Source organism: Homo sapiens, chromosome 2, assembly GCF_000001405.40.
Source record: "Homo sapiens chromosome 2, GRCh38.p14 Primary Assembly".
NCBI classification, from domain to species: Eukaryota; Metazoa; Chordata; class Mammalia; order Primates; family Hominidae; genus Homo; species Homo sapiens.
In genome coordinates, this window is record NC_000002.12 from 110,558,857 (window position 1) to 110,583,200 (window position 24,344).

At 42.8% G+C, this 24,344-nt stretch overlaps 1 protein-coding gene across 19 annotated transcripts in view, besides 1 other annotated feature; it reads right to left on the minus strand.

Moving 5' to 3' along the window:
* The window catches only part of RGPD6 (RANBP2 like and GRIP domain containing 6), a 97,255-nt gene that overhangs the window by 45,055 nt on the left and 27,856 nt on the right, over nt 1-24,344 (minus strand). For 6 of the 19 annotated variants that reach the window (NM_001384363.1, XM_047445731.1, XM_017004839.2 and 3 more), the window contains exons 2-6: nt 10,801-10,868; nt 9,108-9,219; nt 8,520-8,672; nt 4,247-4,477; nt 3,756-3,901 (exon numbers count right to left, since the gene is read on the minus strand). In NM_001384363.1, the coding sequence (NP_001371292.1) occupies nt 3,756-3,901; nt 4,247-4,477; nt 8,520-8,672; nt 9,108-9,219; nt 10,801-10,868 (710 nt within the window). Of the gene's footprint in view, nt 1-3,755; nt 3,902-4,246; nt 4,478-8,519; nt 8,673-9,107; nt 9,220-10,800; nt 10,869-17,575; nt 18,046-18,096; nt 18,367-24,344 lie in introns of those variants that run through there. The other 13 variants (NM_001386163.1, NM_001123363.4, XM_047445732.1 and 10 more) reach the window with 10 other exon arrangements.
* Nucleotides 22,842-23,342: an enhancer, noted in NCBI's record as "H3K4me1 hESC enhancer chr2:111339275-111339775 (GRCh37/hg19 assembly coordinates)". NCBI's record gives its function as "activates a minimal SCP1, AML or CMV promoter by ChIP-STARR-seq in primed H9 embryonic stem cells {active_cell/tissue: H9 hESC(primed)}" and the evidence as "EXISTENCE:reporter gene assay evidence [ECO:0000049][PMID:30033119]".

The following is a 24,344-nucleotide window of genomic DNA, read 5'->3' on the forward strand; positions in this document are numbered from 1 at the left end:
TATATTCTAAATTAGTTCTTCTAAATCCTAATGTTTCTCCAAATCCTCACTTTGGAAGAAAAGTAAAAGCAAAAAGCAAACACTTAAACGTGAAGCATGATTTTAAAGTGGCTTACAATAAAGCAACCAGAGCAAGTGAGGTCTAAAGATCTCTGAGGGTGCTCAAAAACCCCTTCAGGGGATCCATGAAGTTAAAATTACTTTTACAATAATACCAAAAAAAATTTATATATTACATACTCATTTTCTCATGTATGTAGAGCTGACTTTTTTTGTTTTTGTTTTTGGAGACAGAATCTCACTCTGTCACAAGGCTGGAGTGCAGTGGCACAATCTTGGCTTACTGCAACCTCTGACTCCCAGGTTCAAGCGATTCTTCTGCCTCAGCCTCCCGAGCAGCTGGGACTATAGGCGTGTACCAACATGCCCGGCTAATTTTTTGTATTTTTAGTAGAGACAAGGTTTCACCATTGTTAGCTGGGATGGTCTCGATCTCCTGACTTCGTGATCCACCCGCCTCGGCCTCCCAAAGTGCTGGGATTACAGGCCTGAGCCACCGCGCCCCGCTGAGCTGAGTTTTCTAGAGGCTTCATGACATGTAATAGTTTTACAGACTGAAAGAGGAAGTAAATGAGAATCTAGCTATGTTCTATTAAGCGAGACATTAAAAAGATTTACAAAAATGCAAAAACAATGACACTTTTCTGACTACTTTTTTGCTGTTGGGAAATAGTTATTTTTCATAAAAAATGCTATTATTGGCCCTGCGCGGTGGCTCACACATGTAATTCCAGCACTTTGGGAGGCCGAGGCGGGTGGATCACCTGAGGTCAGGAGTTCAAGACCAGCCTAGCCAACATGGTGAAACCCCATCTCTACTAAAAATACAAAAAATTAGCCAGGCGTGGTGGTGGGCACCTGTAATTCCAGCTACTTGGGAGGCTGAGGCAGGAGAATCGCTTGAACCTGGGAAGCAGAGGTTGCAGTGATCCGAGATCACACTGTTGCACTCTAGCCTGGGCAACAAGAGCAAAACTCCGTCTCAAAAAAAAAAAAAAAAAAGCTATTATTATTAACACACAATAGGGCTTATTACATTTTTAATGGATTACATTTTTTGTTTTAATTTCTAATGTAATAAACACTGACAGAAATAACCCACATACGGCCGGATGCAGTGGCTCAGACCTGCAATCCCAGCACTTTGGAAGGCCAAGGCAGGCGGATCACGAGGTCAAGAGATTGAGACCTTCCAGTACTTTGGGAGGCCAAGGTAGACGGATCAAGAGGTCAAGAGACCGAGACCAGCCGGGCGTGGTGGCTCATGCCTGTAATCCCAGCACTTTGGGAGGCTGAGGCAGGCGGATCACAAGGTCAGGATATCAAGACCATCCTGGCTAACACGGTGAAACCCCATCTCTACTAAAAATACAAAAAATTAGCTGGGTGTGGTGGCGGGCACCTGTAGGCCCAGCTACTCGGGAGGCTGAGGCAGGAGAATGGCATGAACCCTGGAGACAGAGCTTGCAGTGAGCCGAGATGGCGCCACTGCACTCCAGCCTGGGCAACAGAGCGAGACTCCATCTCAAAAAAAAAAAAAGATCGAGACCATCCTGGCCAACATGATGAAACCCTGTTTCTACTAAAAATACAAAAACTAGCCAGGTGTGGGCTGGGCGCGGTGGCTCACGCCTGTAATCCCAACACTTCGGGAGGCCGAGGAGGGCAGATCACGAGGTCAGGAGATCGAGACCATCCTGGCTAACACGGTGACACTCCGTCTCTACTAAAAATACAAAAAAAATTAGCCGAGCGTGGTGGTGGGCGCCTGTAGGTAGTCCCAGCTACTCAGGAGGCTGAGGCAGAAGAATGGCGTGAACCTGGGAGGTTCACAAGGCGGGTAACAAAGGGCCCATGAGGCCTGATTAACTGATCTGACAAACCATCTGTCACCCACAGCCCTAAGCCACACTGTGAAACTGCCTAGGGTGGCACCAGCTTTTTATCTTCCTCAGGGTCCTCCCCTCAGGCCCCCAAGTCACCCCATCATGGTCCAGATTCTCCCCTGAGTGACTCCATCCCCATGGTCATTTCCCCTCCTGAGCCTCCCCCTCTGAGGGCCAAGGGCTGTCCTCAGGGCCCTCCTGGGGCTTCCTGGTGGGGAACAACCTGAGGCAGGAGGATAAGCTCTTATTCAGAGCATTGAGAGGAAATTGTGAAGCTTGCAGTGAGCCGAGATTGTGCCACTGTACTCCAGGCTGGGTGACAGAGCAAGACTCTGTCTCAAAAAAAAAAAAAAAAAATTAGCCAGGTGTGGTGTCGGGCACATGTAGTCCCACCTATTCAGGAGGCAGAGACAAGAGAATCACTTGAACCCAGGAGGCAGAGGTTGCAGTGAGCCGAGACTGCACCACTGCATGCCAACCTGGCGAGAGCAAGACTCAGTCTCAAAAAAAAAAAAGAGAGATTGAGACCATCCTGAACCCCGTCTCTACTAAAAATACAAAAATTAGCTGGGCGTAGTGGTGTGTGCCCGTGGTCCCAGCTACTTGGGAGGCTGAGGCAGGAGAATCGCCTGAACCCGGGAGGCGGAGGTTACAGTGAGCCAAGGTCGTGCCACTGCACTCCAGCCTGGTGACAGAGCAAGACTCCATCTCAAAAAAAAAAAAAAAAAAAAAAAGAAAGAAAGAAAAAAAGGAACCCACATACAAAGATCTTTGATGTCCTTAAGAAAAATGTAAAAGGAACTTGTGACCAAAAAATTTGAGTATACAAAGAACACAAAATAAAACATCCTACATGTTTTCTAAAATAAAGTTATGTTAGTTCTTTTAGGTACTGCTCTTACCCTACCAATTTAGGACACTATGTACTTTTTCAAGAAAATTACCTACTCCCTGCACTCAGTGAAATGAACTTCTTTCCTTATACCAGATGGGGAAATAAATTAACTTCCAAACAAATGGACAGCCTAAATTAGCAATCAGTAAACTTTTTCTACAAAAGGAGGAGATTACTAATCTGGCTTTACAGGCATACAATCTCTGCTGCAACCACTCAACTCCAACCCTGTAGTATGTAAGCAGCCACAGACAATACATAAACAGAGGCAAGCTGCATTCCAATAAATATTAACAAAATTAGGCAGGGGCCATATTTGGCCCACAAGTTCTAATCAACCCCTGCTCTAAACTAACATCTTTATACAAATCCAAGTGATGTTTTTGTTCAATGGAATTTATTTTCAAAATGGAGACACTGGTTTTCAAAATCAAAATTTAGGAAAAAAGGTAAATCACATAGTTGAGTTATTTTGTTTCTTAGCTAAAACAGTATTTTCTGAAATACCAGTGATGCTAAGTGCTTATACTAGTACATGTGAACCTAGCCATCTGATGACAGATGAACTTTAATTTTCACTAAAGATTATACTATTATAAAAAAATAAAATATGAAATAGCAGTTAGAACATTCATTTTAAGCTTGACTATGACAAAACTGAGTAACCATAAGGCTAATTTTAATCAAGCTTGAACTATAAGAGTTCTCTAAAAAGGAAAGTCATATAAAACCAATTAGAACTTCCCTGTAAAAGAAGAAAAATAAGATTGCCTCCTAGTGGTTCACTGTATTAACTATAACTCCTAGGTACATTATAGAAATAATGATTCAGTGAAGAAATTTAGAGCAATGAACTTACTGCAAAAAGAAAAACTGCAATTTGTACTAAAGCATTCTCCTCAAAGTCTACGCACCTTTCCAGTAATTCTCTATTTTCCTGCACATCTCTAGTGGAAAGCGTAAGAAGCATAAGATTAGCATAGGCCAGCAGTAAGTCTGTATTGGTTGCTTGCCAGTCACTTTTATCAGACTCCAAACACTGTAAAGACTCCAGATATTCCTATTTTGTGGAATGAATAGTAAGTTACAAAACTTAATCAAGTGTTAAGTAATTAACCATTTTATGCCTACAAATTCCTTTTCTCACTCCAACCACATTTGTGAAACTACATTGATTTTTACATCAACCTTATAAATGAAAACACCAAAAATATATACATTTATCATAGTTATCTCCCCAATCTTCCCATTATAAATTTAACTGATCCTGGTAAAAATTTCATTTTATAACTGTTCTACATAAATAAAAGAAATTTAAGTCCTGCGGGGCACTGCTGCTTTAGTACAAAAAGATGTATGCTAATTGCCTACATAGAAATGTAAAGACTCAATAGCTTTTATCTACCTTAAGGGTCTGTACAACACACGAATTCCACTCTAAACTTGAACGCAAAGCTATGTTCCTCTCTGCCTCATGGCAGTGGGCCACAGCATCCTTCAATCTTTTAGTTGAGCGATACAACTCCACTAGCCGGATGTTCACATGGACGTCATCAGGTCTTACATAAAGTTCTGACTGAATCAAGTCAAAAAGTTTATTCCATCCATCTTCACCTTCACAATCTAGAAGCTGTTCCTATTTAGAGAGGAAAAAGAAAAATTATTAGAGTAACACTTGTGCAACTTTAAACAAGTCATGCTCCCAAAAAGCACCATTCCACTATGTCTAGTTTTATGATGATGCCACCAAAAACACCATCCTAAATACCTTATTCGTCCCTTCTGAGAGTTGCTTACAACCCAGAAACTAAGCCTCAAGAACTGTATGTGAAGAAAAGCATCTGTGATTACTGCAGTAGCTCATACTCTCTTCAGAGACTACCAGGACTAATGCCACACATTCCTGTCCATCTGAGTCACCACCAGAAGCCTAGACCTCCCCAGTCAATCCTCAGCAACAAGGTCCTTATGTTCAAACTGCTCTGTATCTCCTTAAATCTGATTCAATCCTGCATCCCCTCTCCTCCCACTGTTCTGTTACCTTTATCATCATCTCAAAGCACTGTCATCACCTCCTGACCTTAAATGAAGACAGTATCATCTCAGGATAACCCCCACTACCATGATGGCTTTTTCTCTCTGAACTTACATACGAGGAGAGGAAGTAGGGTTTGTGGCCACTCGCTTCTCATTTGCGATGCTCTTCCATCAGCCTCTCAAGAAGCTAGGACCATAGGCATGCACCACCATGCCCGGCTAATTTTTTTTTAACGTTCTGTAGAGATGGGGTCTTGCCGTGTTGCCCAGGCTGACTACTCAGTTCCTTAATCACCTCATCTCCAGTGATGTTATCCTCTACTCCAACCTCAACCATCCACTTGCCACTGACACAGGTCTTCAAAATCTGCATTTTGGTCATACCACCGAAACCACCATACCACCCTTCTTATTCTTCCACCTCACTGAGGGCCTACATACCCTTACTTTCAGAAATATACTTCTCCACCATATGACAAGTTCCCTTCAAGACAATAACATCATCAAGTTTTAAACACCTGTAAACACATATAAATACACACACTTTCTTCTGTCAGGCAAAAAATGCTATAATCCCTTATATCCATAATTACTGTTTGCTTACAGATCCCTTCAACTAATTCCCTCTTTTCCTCAGAAGAACCCTCCCAACTGGTTTCTGTGTGCTTAGATTTGGGAAATCATAACCCCAAGCTAACTGATTTCATTTGCATTATCTCAACCATCAAACTGGTGCTGCCTAAAACAAAATACCATTTTAGTACTAACAGACTCACTTTCTCCACTCCCTGACACTTCACACCTCCTCCTATTTCCTCAACTTCCCCATACCTTCCTTTGACCCTCACTTTCAACTTATAACCTAGATTCATCCTTCACTGAGAAACCTGATGCTATCACATATAAATTCCATTTTACCTTACCTACTTAAACTCGTCTTTCCCCAACTCTCAAGACCAAGCCGCCCATTAGTACTCTGTATTTCATTCCCCTCTCTCCTTTATCAATTTCTCCTCTTCTGGATGAGATGGATGAAACCCTGGCCTCTCCCTATTGCAAAAGCCCTAGTCTTTGACTCTATGTTAAACATTTTTTTAAAAACCACTATGAGTGCTTTTAAAAAGTTCTATCTCATACTTGAGAGAAAAAGCCTTCTCAACAGTAATACTCTCATTCATTAAACAAATGTCAGAAACTGTTTACCTTAGCAAGCCTTAAATTTTAGGAGAAATGGAATTACTTTGCATGACAGTTATAAATCTCATGGATTTCAATTCCAAAAAAAAAAAAATCTGATACAGGAAAGGTGTAACAGTGCCTTCAAGTTATTAAAGAAAATCTTTAAAGAGTGCTTCAAAGTATCTAACTTGTTACACTGCAAGAAAAGAATCTCCTGCCATTACATATGTTCTTTAACACTACTGACACCAGATTAACTGGATTGCCACGCCCAATATGGGAGTTATGTTTGAGGCATAACACCTAAGAGAGTAAAGAAATCTGCACAATTAGACCTCACGCTTTAGACTAACATTTAAAATCCAGCTGCTTATTACTGGGGAGAAAAACTTATCAGTAATATTTATCTTTGGAAGCATCTTCAATGCTTTTTCAGCTTCAAAAATCTGTACATGATTGTTCATAGCAGTTGAACAATAGCCAAAACCTAGAAATAACCAAAATGCCCCTCAAAAGTGAATGGTTAAGGCTGGGCACAGTGGCTCACACCTGTAATCCCAGCACTTTGGGAGGCCAAAGTGGGTGGATCACCTGAGAACCCGGGAGGCAGAAGTTGCAGTGAGCCGAGGTAGCACCACTGCACTCCAGCATGGGCAACAGAGCAAGACTCTGTCTCAAAAAAAAAAAAAAAAAAAAAAAAGTGAATGGTTAAATTGTGGACCATGAAATACTACTCAGAAGTAAAGGAACCAACTATGGATATACAAAACTTAATATGGATCACAAATGGTATTATGCTGACTGAACAAGCCAACCTCAAAAGGTCACATGCTTGGCTGGCCGCGGTGGCTCACGCCTGTAATCCTAGCACTTTGGGAGGCTGGGGTGGGCAGATCACAGGAGGTCAGGAGTTCGAGACCAGCCAGTTTCTACTAAAAATACAAAAATAAGCGGGACATGGTAACATGTGCCTGTAGTCCCAGCTACCCGGAAGGCCGAGGCAGGAGAATCGCTTGAACCTGGGAGGCGGAGGTGGCAGTGAGCCGAGATTGCGCCAGTGAACTCCAACCTGGGCAACAGAGCGAGACTCCGTCTCAAAAACAATGAAAAAAGAAAAAAAAAGTCACACATTTCATGATGACATTTACATAACATTTTGAAATCACCAAAGTATAAAGATGGAGAACAGATTAATGGTTGCCAGAGGTCAGGCATAGTGAAGAGAAGTAAATAGCATGACTACAAAAGGGGCAGCATGAGGAAGATCTCTGTGGTAACAGAGTAGTTCTGTATCTTGACGGCAGTGGTGGTATGAATCTACACGTGATAAAATGAAAGAAAACTATACATACACATTGTACCAATGTCAAAATTCCTGATTTTGATACTGTGCTTTGGTCAGGTTAAACAGGTTGAGTATCCCTTATCCAAAATGCTTGAGACCAGAAGTATTTCAGATTTTGAACTTTTTCAGACTTTAGAATATTTGCAGGATACTTAGCAGATAGAGCATCCCAAATCTGAAAATCTGAAATCCAAAATTTTCCAATGAGCATTTCTTTGAGCATCATGTCAGTGCTCAAAAAATTTCAGATTTTGGAGCATTTAGGATTTCGGATTTTAAATGCTCAACCTGTATAAGCATTGGGGAAAAATGAAGTAGCATATAGGATCTTTCTGTGCAAACTTTGCAACTTCCTGTGCAAAAAAATCTATAATTATTTCAAAATTAAAATTTTTTAAATTTCTATCAGAAACATATATGATGGGGGTAGGAGGAAGCTAAAGGCAAATATACATTTATAATTTTATATTGTACACACACAATAAAGTATACATTAATATATAAAACATTACAATATACATTTTAAATGTTTGCCAAACATATTTGTGTAGATTTCTCCAGAACAGTTACTTAGTAAACTATATTTTACTCTATAAAGAATATCAGGACCAGTCAACACACTAGCAAGAACTTCCTACCATTTTTAGTAATTACGTCTTATATACTACAGAAACCACCTTTTATCTTTTGCTTGAAAACCTTACTATCTCAAAATACAATCCCTTCTACTTTCAGACAATAGTTATCAGAAAACTCTTCTTTAAAATATCCCTAAATTGTCATCCTGTAGGTAATTTTCACTTAATGAAGCAAAAATTGTATATCAGACAGAACTTAATGTAAATCTTAGCTCTACTTAGTTTACAGCTACTAAACTGTAAAATCCCTAAAATATTAATTATTCCAGAAGGGTAAATGAGATGTCACTTATAAAGTATAACAATGCCTAATAAGACAGTAGATGCTCAGAAAGGTTTTAATACACTTTTTAAAAGAAAAATGTTAAAGGAAACACAAACACCTGAGCTTAAGGTTTGCTATTGAAAAGTAATTTAAACTCCAAATATTAGAAATGGTTATGTCTTAAGTTTTCTCCCTTTATGTTTTGTTTGTTTACCTTTAGTTTATAAATTGCAGGACTTCCTGGGAAAAGTTTTGCTGCTCTTTCGACCCAGTATTTTGCTCTTCCATCAGTAACATCATTTTTACAAAGCAATTCTGCAATCTTCAACACAAGATCTTTTTGTGTTGGGTTTAATTCCACTGAACGCTAATATCAGAAAAGAAATTAAAGATTAGTAAATAAATTGTATGTATGTATGTAGGAGTATATATACTTATACATAAAGGTTAAAAATTATCACTCCAACCCTTAAAAAATTCTACTTCTAGAGAAAACATGTTACTTTAAAGGTGTTAAAATAAAAGTGTCTTGGAATTTTCTAGAAATGAATCAAATAAAAATTATATTTGTGTCATTTGAATGCAAAAAACACAAAAGAACACCATTTCTGACCGTGTTAGACTTACAATTTATAGGTGTTAAACAATTCTAAATCTGTTCCAAGCTGTATCACATAATTGTACTATGATACCAATGCCTGTTTTATGATATTCATAAAATATATTTGACTTACTTATATAAATTTCTCTGGGCATCATGTGTTTGGCTACGCAAAGGCTATATTTGAATCTTATAACTTACCCTGTAACATTCAACGGCTTTCTCTGTGTTTTCTTCCAATTCATAAAGAAGACCCAGAAATCTGTGAGCTTTGGGATCCCTCTCTTGCACATTAATGTAAGTACATATGTATCTGTTTTTTAAAAGTAATACAAAAGTAAATTAAACTTAGAACTGTACTTTTAAATGCTAACCGAAGAATACATCTTAAACCAAAGCAACCACTAAACTCGTTTATATTGTTACTCAAAACTACCACTATTTATGCAGATAACTCAAAAGTATTCATAGAAAGAAATGGGTAATACTTAAAAACACGTACATAGAGTTGACCACATACTCATTTTACCATTAAATGTCACATTTACCAAATTTTTCTCCAGTGTTAACCACACATAAGAAATGAACATATAGATTGCTTTTTCTTCCTGATCACATTTTAATAAAGCACTAACAGTTTTGCCAATAAATTAGAAGTGATTATAATAAACATTTTTAAAGTTATCATAATGCAAAATACTAAACAGCAACAATTTCCCAAACAACAAAGGGAAATACATTTACCCTTTAAGCAAGAAAGTAATTTCTAACAGTACTATATCCAGCTAAAATCGAACAGAAGAAAAATTACTAATTACAGTACCAAATACAGGAAATTTCCATTTCTCAAATCAAGTAACAACTAAAATAAGTAAATATCCTCTAGGTTCCTTGACAGTATTACGATCAGAGAAATTAGGCCAGACCTAAACTAAGGGATTAAAGTCTCACAGTAAAAAGGTACAAGAGTTAACAGTCACAGTGCTGCTAGTTACATAATTTATGTACCACCATTTTCCTTTCTTACCAGCATTTCCATCTTCCTTTGGATGCCTTTAAAAGCCTGCCTCCCAGCTGGGAGCAGTAACACACACCTGTAGTCCCAACACTATGGGAGGCCGAGGCAGGCAGACTGCTGTGCTCAGAAGTTCAAGACTAGCCTGGGCAACATAGTGACACCTGTCTCTACCAAAAAATGCAAACCTTAGCCAGGTCCACGTGGTGGTGCGCATCTGTATCCCCAGCTACTTGGGGCGCTGAGGTGGGAAGATCGCTTGAGCCCAGAAGGCAGAGGTTACAGTGAGCAAAGATGGAGCCAGCTGCTGCACTCCAGCCGGAGCAAGAGAGACAGATACTGCCTAAAAAAAAAAAAAAAGCCTGCCTCCCTCTTAATTTCCTGCTTTAATCCACTCCCAGCCAGGAAATCAGAATCACCAAGCTTCTCATCCCTAGGATAGAGCCTTAGAGCATCACATATTGTGTCAGTTAAAGATCTTTTATACAAGCTATTCTCCTGCCTTACAATTACAGTTTAATTTTTTATTCATTGCTATTTTCCATCTGATTAAGGTATCAGATATCTAACCAAAAACAAATTAAGATATAGGCATGGTCCTCTTTTACTCCAACAGAAGACAATTTTTAGAAAAAGTGTTTTAAGCCAAACAATTTCTTGCCCTTGGTATAAAGCAGCAGCATGCAGAAAACACTAATTACAGTTTCAATCTCAATGGAATCTAGGCTGGTCCTTAGCATCAGTCTGAGTGATAAATCCCTTATTCCAGAATACACTTAGGAAGAACTACTAAGGACATATTTTTACCTATTTCAAAGAAGAAAATGAGAAAAGGCATTGATTTTAAAAAAAAGAATACATGTTACGGTTTGTACTTACTTTTTAGCAAGATCATATTCTTTAGCTTCATAATACAGCTTTGCAAAATAGAATCCTTTCATTGACTTCTAAAAAAAAATTAAAAGTTGTTTTACGTTTCATACAGAAATATTTTCCAACATTTTTTCAAAAGTAGTTAAAGCCTGACAAATGCATAATTCCATGTTTTATAATTTCCTACCACAAAACAAAAAATAGAGCTGGGTGCAGCAGCTCATGCCTGTAATCCCAGCACTTTGGGAGGCCGAAGTGGGCGGATCACCTGAGGTCAGGAGTTTGAGACCAGCCTGGCTAACATGGTGAAACCCCGTCTCTACAAAAATAGAAAAATTAGCCAGGCATGATGGCGGGTGCCTGTAATCCCAGCTACTCAGGAGGCTAAGGCACAAAAATCAGTTGAACCCAGGAGGTGGAGGTTGCAGTGAGCCAGAGGTTGCAGTCAGCTGAGATCGTGCCATTGCACTCCAGCCTGGGCGACAGAGACTCCATCTCCCAAACATCATCATCATCATCATCATCATCATCATCATCATCATCATAAATAAGCTGGGTGCAGTTGGTCACACCTTTAATTCTATTTAATTCTAGCACTTTCAGAGACCAAGGTGGGAGGCTAGCTTTGAGGCCAAGAGTTTGAAACCAGCCTGTGCAACACAACAAGATCCTGTCTCCAGGGGGAAAAAAATAGCCAGGCATAGTGGAGCATGCCTGTGTTCCTAGCTACTCAGGAGGCCAAGGAAGGAGAATCACTTGAGCCCAGGAGGTTGACACTGCCGTGAGTTATGACTGTAACACTGCACTCCAGCCTGGGTGACACAGGGAGATCCTCTCTCTAAATAATAAATACATAACATACAAAAAATAAATTCAAGAAAGCAAGACAAGCAGACAACAGAAGTTAAGAATTTTCATCAGCCTTGGAAATCTTGGAAACCCTGTGGTACCACTCTCTCACTTAACAAACAAAAGAAACCAGCTTTCTTTGGGGAGGAAAGGTATTCCAGAAATCTCTTCTCCTACCATGTGTAAGCCTCTATGGGAAAGAATAAGTAAGTACTTAGGATCTATTAAGGCACTGAGGATTCCCGGGTCCATGTACTGTTCTCTCTACAGATCAGATCAGTATTTTACAGTCAAGGAGTCAAAAAGGCAGAAATAAATATTGAATTCTTCAAGTAATAAACGAGGTCCACAGCCTGGATCCTTGGTTACATAAACTCCAAAGTCCAAAATGCTGATGCACACCAGGCTGGGTGCGGTGGCTCACATCTGTAATCCCAGCACTTTCGGAGACTGAGGCGGGTGGATCACTTGAAGCCAAGAGTTCGAGACCAGCCTGGCCAACATACAGAAACCTCCTTTCTACTAAAAATACAAAAATTAGCTGGGCATGGTGGCACACGCCTGTAATCCCCGCTGCTTGGGAGGCTGAGGCAAAGAATCGCTTGAACCCGGGAGGCAGAGGCTGCAGTGGGCCAAGATCGCACCACTGCACTCCAACCTGGGCAACAGAATGATTCCATCTCAAAAAAAAAAAAAAATGCTGATACAACCAGAGTATGTTCCATCCATGTGATAGAGTATACAGCTACTCAAACATCTTATTTTTGAAATTCCAAGACCCCAGTGAATGTCCAAAAACGATGAATAGTACCAAACCAGGTTGCCATCAATCGAAACATGCTTCCTGTTTGTGTCCTCCACCCACAAATTTAATGTCTTGTCCATCTCAACTAAGCACTTATCACACACTGTGGCTGTAACTTTTGCAGTTTGGGGTGTCACAACAAAACTAGCACAAATTTCTTTTTCCTTCTTCACAATTTCATGGACAAAAGATTTGTTCTTACCATAGATCTCAGCAACCCCAGTATATGATCTTTTTTCTTTCCTAAGTCAAAAACTCACCTCTTCACTTAAAGGAAGCACTATATGGCTTCTCTCTGGCATATGTGAACTGCCAGCATCACTATTCTTGCTCTTTGGTGCCATTTTAAATAAAATAAAGGTTACTTGAACACAAGCACTGCAATACTCCAACAACTGATCTGATAACTGAGATGGCTAGTATGTAACTAGCGGGTGGGGAGCACATACAGCATGAATATGTTGGACAAAGGGATGATTCGTGTCCTGGGTAGGACGGAGCAGGAGGCCGTGAGATTTTTATCATGTTATTCAGACCTGTTTGCAATTTAAAACTCATGAAATGTTTATTTATATAATCTTCCATTCAATATTTTTGGACCACGGGTGACGCAGGTAAGTAAAACCACGTAAGGCAATACTGTGGATAAGAAGGGACTACTGTACCAGCAACGAACAATCAGAAAATGAAATTAAGAAAGCAATTCCATTTACAATCGCATCTAAAAGAAAAAAATGCCTGGGAATAAATGTAAACAAGGAGGTGAGAGACTTGTATGCTTAAATTACAAAACCTTGCTCAATGCCAGGCTAACACCTGCAATCCCAGCACTGGCGACAGAGCAAGACTCCGTCTCAAAAAAAAAAAAGAACTATAGCAATCTTAACAAAAATAATACACAACAGTCAGGACAGCACATAAAGGAACAAGGCCTGTTCCCCCCTTCCTTTTTTTTTTTTTTTTTTTGAGATGGAGTCTTGCTCTGTCGCCAGGCTGGAGTGCGGTGGCTCGATCTCAGCTCACTGCAACCTCTGCGTCCCGGGTACAAGCTGGGACTACAGGCGCATGCCACCATGCCCAGCTAATTTTTGTATTTTCAGTAGAGATGGGGTTTCACCATGTTGGCCAAGATGGTGTCGATCTCTCGACCTTGTGATCTGACTTCTTCCGCCTCCCAAAGTGCTGGGATTACAGGCATCAGCCACCGAGCCCGCCAGTTCCCCCTTTTCAAAATGAAGAAATAGATTCAAGGTACAATGCCAAAACATAATAGAAAAATAATTCCATTACCTTCTTTGCTTCCAACTATGTTAAAACATAATAGAAAAATAATTCCATTACCTTCTTTGCTTCCAACTATGTTATTAAAGTAGACAATCTTAAGATAATTAAACAACTTTACAAATTATTCTTCTATATGATCTTTTGCCTCTAACCTGCTCACTTTACAAGGGAACTGAAGCTCAAGCAGGCAAATGCCTTGTTTAAAGATATACAGCTAGAAAGGAGCACAGCCCATGTTATGTAAACAGGACAATATCTGATGCAAGCAGTACTTCTTTACATGACAGCAGATGTCACTATAAGCAAATACCTGAATTCACTTAAGCTGTCAAATATCAAGAACTGATGCAGGGCTGAAAACAGGAACAGTAAGACCCTAAGAGATGCCACATCATCGCTATCTTGCACAGTAAGATAGAGATGTAATTGTAATTGTCCAAAACTTAATATTTGTGGCCTACTTTTTCATTATGCAGTTCTAAATTTCTCTCTCTTTTTTTTTTAATTCAAACGGAGTCTCACCCTGTCGCCCATCTTGCACAATCAAATGAATCTCCCTCCCCCTAAAATCCTCCAAAAAAGCTGCTGTTCTCAACAAACCCATCTGATCAGCTCCAAATCTGTGGAGTCCCAACAAGGGTGAAGGCCGTGATTATACAGGACAATGAGGAAAAGTCTAGATACTGAACCATGAGTTCCCCAATCTTCTTCCCCTGGAACATAAGGGTAAGGAAATCTCTCAAAAGGCAGAACAAACAAAAGAGGAGAATAAGAGAAAAATTAGAGAAACTCCAGCTTTCAGGTAAACATCATTAAAAAAAAGGGTAAGAAATGGTTAAAGAAATAATACAAGAAATGCTACAGAACTGAAAGAAATGAGTTTCCCAATTGAAAGGACACTTCCAGAAAACCTTTAAGTTACCAAGAACAAGAATCTCATGGGACTCCTAACAACAGAACTTCTAGAAAATGAAGCAATGCTTTCAAAATTGCGAAAAAAATTATTTGAAACTCAGAATTCGATAACCAAATGATCAACTAAATTAAGTAAAGATGTTTTAAAGACATACCATTAGTTTCTAGACCAGCCTGACCAGTATGGTGAAATCCCATCTCTACTAAAAATAGAAAAAATTAGCCGGGCATGCTGGCGCACACCTGTAATCCCGCTACTCGGGAGGCTGAGGCAGGAGAATCACTTGAACCTGGGAGGCGGAGGTTGCGGTGAGCTGAGACCATGCCACTGCACTCCAGCCTGGGCAACAGAGCAAGACTCTGTCCCATAACAAAAACAAACAAAAAAACCTCTCATCCACTTTTCCTCAAAGCAAGTGAGACTATGCTACACCAAAACAAAGAAAGTAAATGAAGAGGACATGAGATACAAGAAACAAAGGGTCTAACTCAGAAAAAAGATGAAGGGAATTCTCAAACTGGTGATAAAGGGAAGTCCCAAGAGCACAGCTGTGTAGCAAAGAGGAAGAAAAACCAATCCGGGTTGGAGAAGTTGGTTAGTAAGGGTATTCCAGGTAGACAGACAATCAATCAATCAATCAGTGTTTTAAGCTGAAATTGATGGGATTATCTGACCAGTTTGACCACATTTGAGGGTTTAAATTGCTGAGTTTAAGTAAGCAAGTAGTAACACAACATACAAGCAAACCAAAAAATAAAGCAATTATTCAGTCCAGGAAAACGTGGGTGCAGCACACCAGCATGGCACATGTATACATATGTAACTAACCTGCACAATGTGCACATGTACCCTAAAACTTAAAGTATAATAAAAAAAAAACAACAAAAAACTGCACAACAAGGGCAATTCAAATGCAAAAATATTTACCTTCTATTTATATAAATGTTAACTATTCATTTAAACAAAAACTGCAGTAACAGTACTGAAAGAATGAGGGGCAAACCAAAGTGTCTGAGGACAGTTTTGGAGGAGCATAATAGCCAGTACAGAATGTCTAAAATGGGGCCGGGCGCGGTGGCTCACGCCTGTAATCCCAGCACTTTGGGAGGCTGAGGCGGGCGGATCATGAGGTCAGGAGATCGAGACTATCCTGGCTAACACGGTGAAACCCCGTCTCTACTAAAAATGCTAAAAAATTAGCCGAGTGTTGTGGCGGGTGCCTGTAGTCCCAGCTACAGGCTGGGGCAGGAGAATGGCGTGAACCCCGGAGGCAGAGTTTGCAGTGAGCCGAGATCGCGACACTGCACTCCAGCCTGGACGATAGAGCGAGACTCCGTCTCAAAAAAAAAAAGAAAAGAAAAGAAAAGAAAATGTCTAAAATGGGAGAAAGGGAATTAAAAATAACAAAAGTATATATGTGTGTTACTCAGAAGTATGAAGTATAGATGTAAAGGGCAGAAAAAACAACTAACAGCTGTCAAAGGTGCCTGCCTGTAGTCCTAAGTACTCAGCAGACAGAGGTAGGAGGATCATTTATGCCCAAAAATTTGATGGGCAACACAGCAAGACCCTATTCTAAAAAAAATACAAATAAAAATAAGAGCTGTCAAGTAGACTTTGAGAAGTAGGAATCAGCTGCAGAATAAGAAACCGACTTGACAGAACATAGAAAAACTAAACAGAAGCCATCTGGAAAAAGAAAAACTAGAGAAAGAATTATATTTTTTTTCTTTTTTTCTTTTTTGGAGACAGAGTCTCGCTCTGTCACACAGGCTGGAGTGCAGTGGCGCAATCTCTGCTCACCACAACCTCTGCCTCCAGGGTTCAAGCAATTCTCCTGTCTCAGCCTACCGAGTAGGTGGGACTACAGGCGCTGCCACCACGCCCGGCTCATTTTTGTATTTTTAATAGAGACGGATTTTCACCATATTGGTCAGGCTGGTCTCTCGGCCTCCCAAAATGCTCGGATTACAGACGAAGAATATTTTTAAGAAGGGCAAAAGCACATGTGAGGGAGTAGAAAAATGGCAAAACAAGAGGAGACTAACAAATGAAAGCGCAATGGAAGACTAGAAAGATATGATATACAGACGCATCATCACACTCCAAAACTCCGACATTCTAGAAAGCATGGGCAGTTCACAGATGGCCAGCCTCTGCCAAACTGGGGGAGAATACTAACCTCTTCATATTCTTCACAGCCACTGCCTCTTCTCCCTCCATTCTTTACCTTCTATCCAAAGCACCCTGTTTTGTCATTTCACTCAAACCTAACTTCACAGAATAGCTTCACATGTTCCAGTTACTCACTAGTTAATCCATATTCCGCTGAAATCCCCAGGTTCTAATGTAAATGACTTTAAATTTGGGGGAAAAAAAAGACTCTAAATGTAAGAGAGGTGTCATAATAACCAATCGTCAAAATTCTGCCACCACTCCACTTTATTTAATGGAGAAGTTATGTAGTTGAAAGAACATTCTAACTTCTGTCTAGACCAGTGGTTTTTAATCTTTTGGAAGCCAAGGTCCCCACTAAGAATCTCAGAAAGGCTCCAAACTTGCTTTTTTTTTTTTTAAGCTTGTTTAAAAAAAAAAAAATCAGGCTGAGCAGAGTGGCTCACACCTGTAATCTCAGCATTATTTACATGTAAAGAGGAAAAATACCCTTAAAACATCTGTGGAAAAGGTTAAAAATTGCAAGCCATACTAACGATTTGTAAGAACTTTAGAATTTTTTTTTTTTAAGCAAAGGCAGCTACCAAAGTGTTCCGGGCGGGGAGGGGGGCGAGGGAGGTGAGTATGAGGAGTGGAGTGGAGCTGGACCCTTACAAAGGGACAGCGACAAACACCTCATACTCAAAACAAGGGGACTTTCCGTGTCATTTGCGCCGTCGGGCCATTGCAAATGTCCGCGCTGAGATGCCTACCTTGTCACTCGACGCAGCCGCCAAAGCTCACCCGGAGCTGCGTCAGTCCCCACTGGGTTCCTCCAGGCCAAGGAGGTACGACCTCCGCCGCAGCATATAAAGTAAATGTCCAGGAGATGGGAAGAAACCCGCCGATACAGCACCCGGGTGCCCAAGCCCCCGAGAACTAGGCCGCGCGGGTACTACGGGGTGCGCGATCGGCCAGAAAGCCCGGGCCAGGACGGGCCCAGGAGCGAGCACCGTCGGGAACAAGCGTCGGGAACAAGCCGGGATTAAGAGGAAGCGCCGGCGCCAACGGTCTCCCGCCCGCCGCGGTCCCCCCAGGACTCTTCCTGCGCTTGCAAGCGCCACGCCGCCCACAGGACTGCGCCAGCCGGCCGGCGCCTCAACAGAGCGCGCCACGGAGCAGCGCCCCTCGGGAGACATGACGCCTGAGCCATCGAGGCGGCCGCCGCCGCCGCCCCCCCCCTCCCCCCCCGGCCGGGTCGAGGCCGCCGTCGCTCTCTTCGAGACCCACTCACCTGTCGAGGCGACGGGGTGAGACCCAGCACCGAGGCGACGTACCGCTCCACATCGGCCTTGCTGCGCCTCATCGCGCCGCCAACCTGGCTCCCGAGACGCGTGCGAGCACCGCTCAGCCCCGCAGCAGTCGCCACTTCCAAGAGGAAAGTGCCTGCAAGCCACTGAAGCAGCGGCGTAGCCGGCGGAGGCCCACTGTGACGAGCGTGCGGCGCCGCCCACGGAGGCCCACTGTGACGAACCTGCGTTCTGCCTCAGCACTGTGTATCCTCGGCGACGTCGGCGCTCCAGCTGCACTCGGCCGGGCTCGTGGCGCCGCCCTGTGGTCTGAGGGTGTCTTGACATGATCTTATCTATAGAAAACCTTAATGAAACCTCGAAAAAAAAAGACCTAAACTATCAGTGATAATAAATGAGTTCAAAGAGATTGTACCATACGAGGTCAACTAAAAAAATGAGATGTCTACTTATACACCAGCAAGGAACAATTCAAGTAAAATTAAGTAAACAATTCCATTTATAATATTATCAAAAATAATAAAATAATTATGAATAAATTTAACCCAAAAGTGTAAGACTTGTAGACTGGAAACTACAGAACACTGTTGAAGGAAATTAAAGAGGAGCTAAATCAATGGAAAGACATCCTGTGTTCATTAATTGGATGTAAACATGTCTACACAAAAACTTGTATACAGGCCAGGCATAGTGGCTCACGCCTGTAATCCCAGCACTTTGGGAGTTTTTGATGGGAGGATCACTTGAGTCCAGGAATTTGAGACCAGCCTGGGCAACACAGCGAGACCCCCATCTCTACAAAAAAGAAAAAACAAAAACAAAAGAAAACCTATACATGAATGTTTATAGCAGTACTATTTTTATTAGTAAAAGGTGGAAACAATCCAAATTTCCATCTACTGAAGATGGATTTTTAAAATGTGGTATTATTGGGCACAGACACACGTGCCTGTAGGCCCAGCTACTGGGGAGGTTGAGGCAGGAGGGTCGCTTGAGCCGGAGAGTTTGAAGCTGCAGTTTGCAGCTGCAGTGATGCTCCTTGATCCATGCAGGAGCTGTGATCAGGCCTGTGAAGAGCCACTAAACTCCAGCCTGGGCGACATAGTGAGATCTCTGTCTCAAAGAAAAATGTGGTATAGCCATACAATAGAATATTACTTTTGCATAAAAAATAATGAAGTACCAATGCATACTACAACATGAATCAGCCTTGAAAACATTATTCTAAATTAAAGGTGCCAATCACAAAACCTCATATATCATTTCATTTATATGAAATATCCAGAGTAGGCAAACTCAAAGACACAGAAAGTAGACTAGTGATTGCCAAGGGCTGGGTGGAGGGGAAATCTGGGAGTGCATGTGACTGCCAACGTGAATGGAGTCTCTCGTTGGGGTGATAGAGATATTTTGGAATTAGATTTTGGGGAAGGCTGTAAAACATTGCAAATTTACTAAAAAAAAAAAAATCATTGAATGAAATTAAATCCTATGGAGATGATAGGTATTTTCATTTTGGCCAGGCAATCTACCTGATTAGGTTCAAGCCACAAGTTCCCACCCCTCCATTCTGCAGTCTGGTTCCAAAGTCAGTTCAGTGTCCAGAGTCTTCACAGGACTATTCAGTTCTGTCTGACTTGTGCACCACCCAGTGGCCAGTTGTGTCTGTGGGTGATGGTCTCTCAGTTCAGCTGTCAATCTTTGGTGTGTTGAACAGGACGAGATCTATGCAGGAGCAGCTCAAGAATGAGCCCTGGGGTTTATAGACAGGTTAATGGGGTTGCTTCACTGATTAACTCTCTCTCAGCAATTACCCTGTTGCTTTCATTTGCTGAGGCTTCTCTTTTTAGTCTTCCAAGCAGAAAACAGGCTTTCGGTATCTGGCTCTACCATGCATTTCTACATCTGAAGCCAAGCAGTGGGAGGACTGAATTGGAAGAGAAGCAACATGGATTGTTTCTGCCCTCTTGGGACCACAGCTCTGTCAGTTGGAGAAGGTTCCCTCCTGCGTCTTGGCTCCTGGGCTCCTCTTGGGGCTGGTGCCAGTGCCACTGTGGGACTGCTTGTGGGCTGAGGTATGAGAGAACAGGGAAAAGAAAAATGGGGAGGAACGAACTTCTGGATTCCCTCGGAATGTTAGGAGACCCTTTTCCCGTTACTTGAGCCAGAAATAGAGGGCATCTTCTGGAGCTCTTTCTATCTGCACCCTGGTGCCCACTGCCAGGTTAGTCACGGGATGCCATAGGGGAAACATGGTTATCTCACCACCGGTTTGGTGGTACTTCAAGTTCTGGTCTTCTTGGGAAAGCTGCCTGCAACTATTTAGTTTTCAATGTCTTCCAATAGCTGCTCCATGCATTCTGTACTGTCTCCTGGCTGGACTCCATGCAGGAAGCCTGTCTCCTCCACAGTGTGCACTCACTCAGGTCATTGCTAAGTTTTATTGTTGGCATTTGTTTGCTTTAATTTTTCAGACTGACTCCCTAGAGGTCGCTTCTTGTTTGCATAGTTCGTCAGTCAAACATCAGTTAAAGCCAATATGGTTTCCACCATCTGCTGCTGGATCTATGTGCAATGGGGAGGAGGCACGCCCCGGGCCATTTGCAAGGGTGTTCCGGCTTTTACTTCCTAACACTGGCACCGGCACACACACAGGCTGTGTGCCCTGGGCATATGGACATGGCTTGGGCTTGCTCTAATCTCTGCCAGCTATGAGCCTTCAGTCCATTTGGGTAGTGTGAAGAGTTTACTAAGCTCCCTCTGGCTCTCCGACCTCCCGGAGCTCCCTCTTACATCCATGACTAATCTGCAGGTCGTTTGCTCGTCTCCAAAGGCCCAGAGCCTCAGGCTAGGAGTCAGTGGCCTTTCTTCCTCCTGGTCACTGATATCACCACCTTAACTAGCCATGCTGCAAATCAAAACCTTCCTCACTCTTGCCTCCAGCCCCTGCAGCGAGGTGGCAGGGGAGCTTATCTCCACAGGCTGCCCTGCTGGGGGCCGCTGTGTGTGTTATCAACAGCTGGGGTAAATGGGGGTAGCAGCCTGGGCAAAGATGCCACGGACACAGGCTGGTCTTATCCAAGGCTCACTTTAATTCTTCTTTTTTTTCTTTAGGGACAGGGTCTGTCTCACTCTGTTGCCCAGGTTGGAGTGCAGTGGTGTGATCACAGCTCACTGCAGCCTCAATCTCCTGGGCTCAAATGATTCTCCCGCCTTAGCCTCCCATGTAGCTGGGACCACAAGTGTGCACCACCATGCCTTTTTTGATTTTTTTTTTGTACAGACGGGGGTCTCACCAAGTTGCCCAGGCTGTTTTTGAACTCCTGAGCTCAAGTGGTCCTTCTGCTTCAGCCTCCCAAAGTGCTGGGGTTACAGGCGTGAGCCACCGCGCCTGGCCAGCTTTCATTCTTAAACACATCCCCATTTGTGCCGTGCCTTTGGTAAAATTGCAGAATGCTAAATGGTTTGTCCAGCTATACAGTTACATTTTGGAAAGATTTGTTGACCTCCTCACTTCATCATGCTAGAAGTGGGAACTTTGATTACTCTTTAAAGAATCTGAAGATGAAGGGAAGACCAACGCATAATTTGAGAGAATGGCAAGACTGAGAAAGGTTTCTGTAGCATGGTGCATGCATGTGTGTGTGCGTGTGTAGGGAGAGGCAAAGGGTTCTGACAAGAGGAAGAGGCTGAGGAAGCAGGCTCATCTCCACAACATGCTGCTGCCACCCAATCATAGGGTCTCTTGCAGCAATTCCAGTCCTGATCTCACAAACCTCATACCCTAACTACGGTCCCCCTAATTGGGGTCCCTCCTCAGAGCTTTCCTAAGGCTCCCTAACTTTTCCCCTCACCTCGGTTGAGGCCTCCATGGTTTGGACTTGCTGGTTTTGCCTTGCTCTTCCCTTGATAAATACACCATTTATTCCGGTTCAGCCCTTGGAACTTTAAACCTTAACCCAAGCCTCCTCCACCCCACTATATTAGCCCAAGCCTAGAGTATCAGATCTGGATATTTGGGTAAAGATGCAGACAAATTTTGAGTTGGAAAAGAAAGAACTTAACTCATTACTAAAAGATGACCTTGATAGCTATATATATGGGAAACAAGAATGTATCAGGAAGTTAATCCTTTGCTCACACTACACCTGGTGCATGTAATTCCATCTCTGAGTTTTCCCCTTATTATTATTATCTTTTTTTGAGATGGAGTCTCACCTTATTGCCTAGGCTGGGGTGCAATGGCACAATCTTGACTCACTGCAACCTCCGCCTCCTGAGTTCAAGCGATTCTCCTGCCTCAGCCTCCCGAGTAGCTGGGAGGCTCAGACACAACCTCCTGGGCTCAAGTGATCCTCCCACCTCAGCCTACCTAGTGGCTGAGACTACAGGAATGTGCTGCCCTGTCCGGCTTGTTTTTGTTGTTTTAATTTTTATTTTACTTCCCAGGACTCTAAAAGACTTGCTGACCTATTAACACACAAACTAGTGCCCACTTCCCTACTCCCCATCTTGTCACTTTGTCCCCACCCAGTCCCTTGCTACCCCTCCCATCCCCTCAGTGTGACTAAGTTGCTGGAGGTACCCTGCCCCATCCTTAATTTCTTGCCCCAGGCCCTGCTGGGCCCCCCGTCTCTGCCCTGCCTGCCTCAGCTCCCCTCTGTCTCTCGGCCTTTTCACCTCCATGCTCCCAGCCTCACATCCTTGGAGCCAAGTTTGCCTCTCACAAAGCATGGCCCCCTACGGTCCCCAGCACCGCTGGTGCCAGGGCCATCCTGCCCCGCCATTGTGTCCTCACATTCCCCAACACTGAACTCAGGTTTCCCCTGGGGGGCTGAGCTGTCTTCCCTCAGTCACGCCTTCCTCCCCATGCAGGCTCATCCAGTCCCTCTGCCCTGCTCCAGTACCCTCTCCCCACCTTTCACCGTGGATCAGGCCCACAAGGTCACCTAGGGACGTTTTATATCCAAAGTAACATGACAACATCTCCTCCTGCACTGTCTAGTCACATGCTCTGAGGTCAACAGTGGTGCGTCCACTAATAACACATTTCATACTATTCAGCACAACTCACAACCCTGCAAACATAGATTAAAGGAAAAATGCCGGAATATGGGACGGATGGCTAAGCATTCTAATTTGAATGAGCACATTTAAAACTACAAGGGAAAACTATCACTAGGTTCACCTCAGAGGACATCTGGGTTTTCTTTCAAGGAAATGAGCAACTGGACACACTGAGACCCTCCTTCTGGGTTAAGGGCCCAGCATGCTTCCCCTGGGCTGCCTACCATATGCTGTTCTCCTCTCCCTGCTGTTCCTCAGTCTGACACACACACCTGCAGTGGTGGCCTGGTGAAGGGATGCACTTGCCTCCTCGGCACGAAAGGAAGATGGGCAAACAGGAATCCCACAAATGGCACCGTCAAAGTAAGAAGTGCGGCAAAATGAACTGAGGGCAGGTGCTGTCATTCGGCAGTCTGTGATTCTAAGACCTAAGACCAGGATTGCTTTTGAGACTGGAGTGAAACAGCAAAGACAGAAGACAAGAGTGACTCTGAGGCCTTTACTTGGCTTCCACACTAAAATGCCTTAGCCCCAGGAATCAGCTTCTCTTTTCTTCCTCTTCATATTTAGATGGTGAGAGAGGTAGCGTTTAAGACATACATTAGGGCCCCAGATGAGGGCCAGGAACAGGCTGGACCAAGACTCAGACAGCCCAGCTCCATGGCAACCTGATGGCCCCTGTGGGGGTGGACAGGTATCGGGTTCATTCTTTCTCAGGGCGACTTCAGCTCTTGGAAGGGAGGGTTCTGGTTAAGCCTCGGGTGGGATAGTTATGGTGAGTGACAGTTGCTAGAAGAACACTGTGACAATTTCTGTTATTTTCAATTGATCCAGTCTCTTGCCCACCACACAGACTCCTTGATGGAAAGCCCTTCAGGAATAAGAAAGGGTTCAGGTTCTCAGGGTAAAACAGGCTTTGCAATTCTCTAATTTGCTAATTGTCAACTTCTGAAGACTGTGTTTCCTCATGGTAGTAGGAGCTAGTATGAGTAATTTACCAGAGTGAAACAGGCGAGATTCCATGCACCTGCGGAAATACAGCCTGAGTTCCAGCACCTCCTTTCTTGAATTCTTGGATTTCTTCCTCAGCTCCTTTCCCAAGTCAGTTCATCTCTGACTTAACCCGCAACGGGCATCCAAGGGAATTATTCCAAGAAGTGTCCTC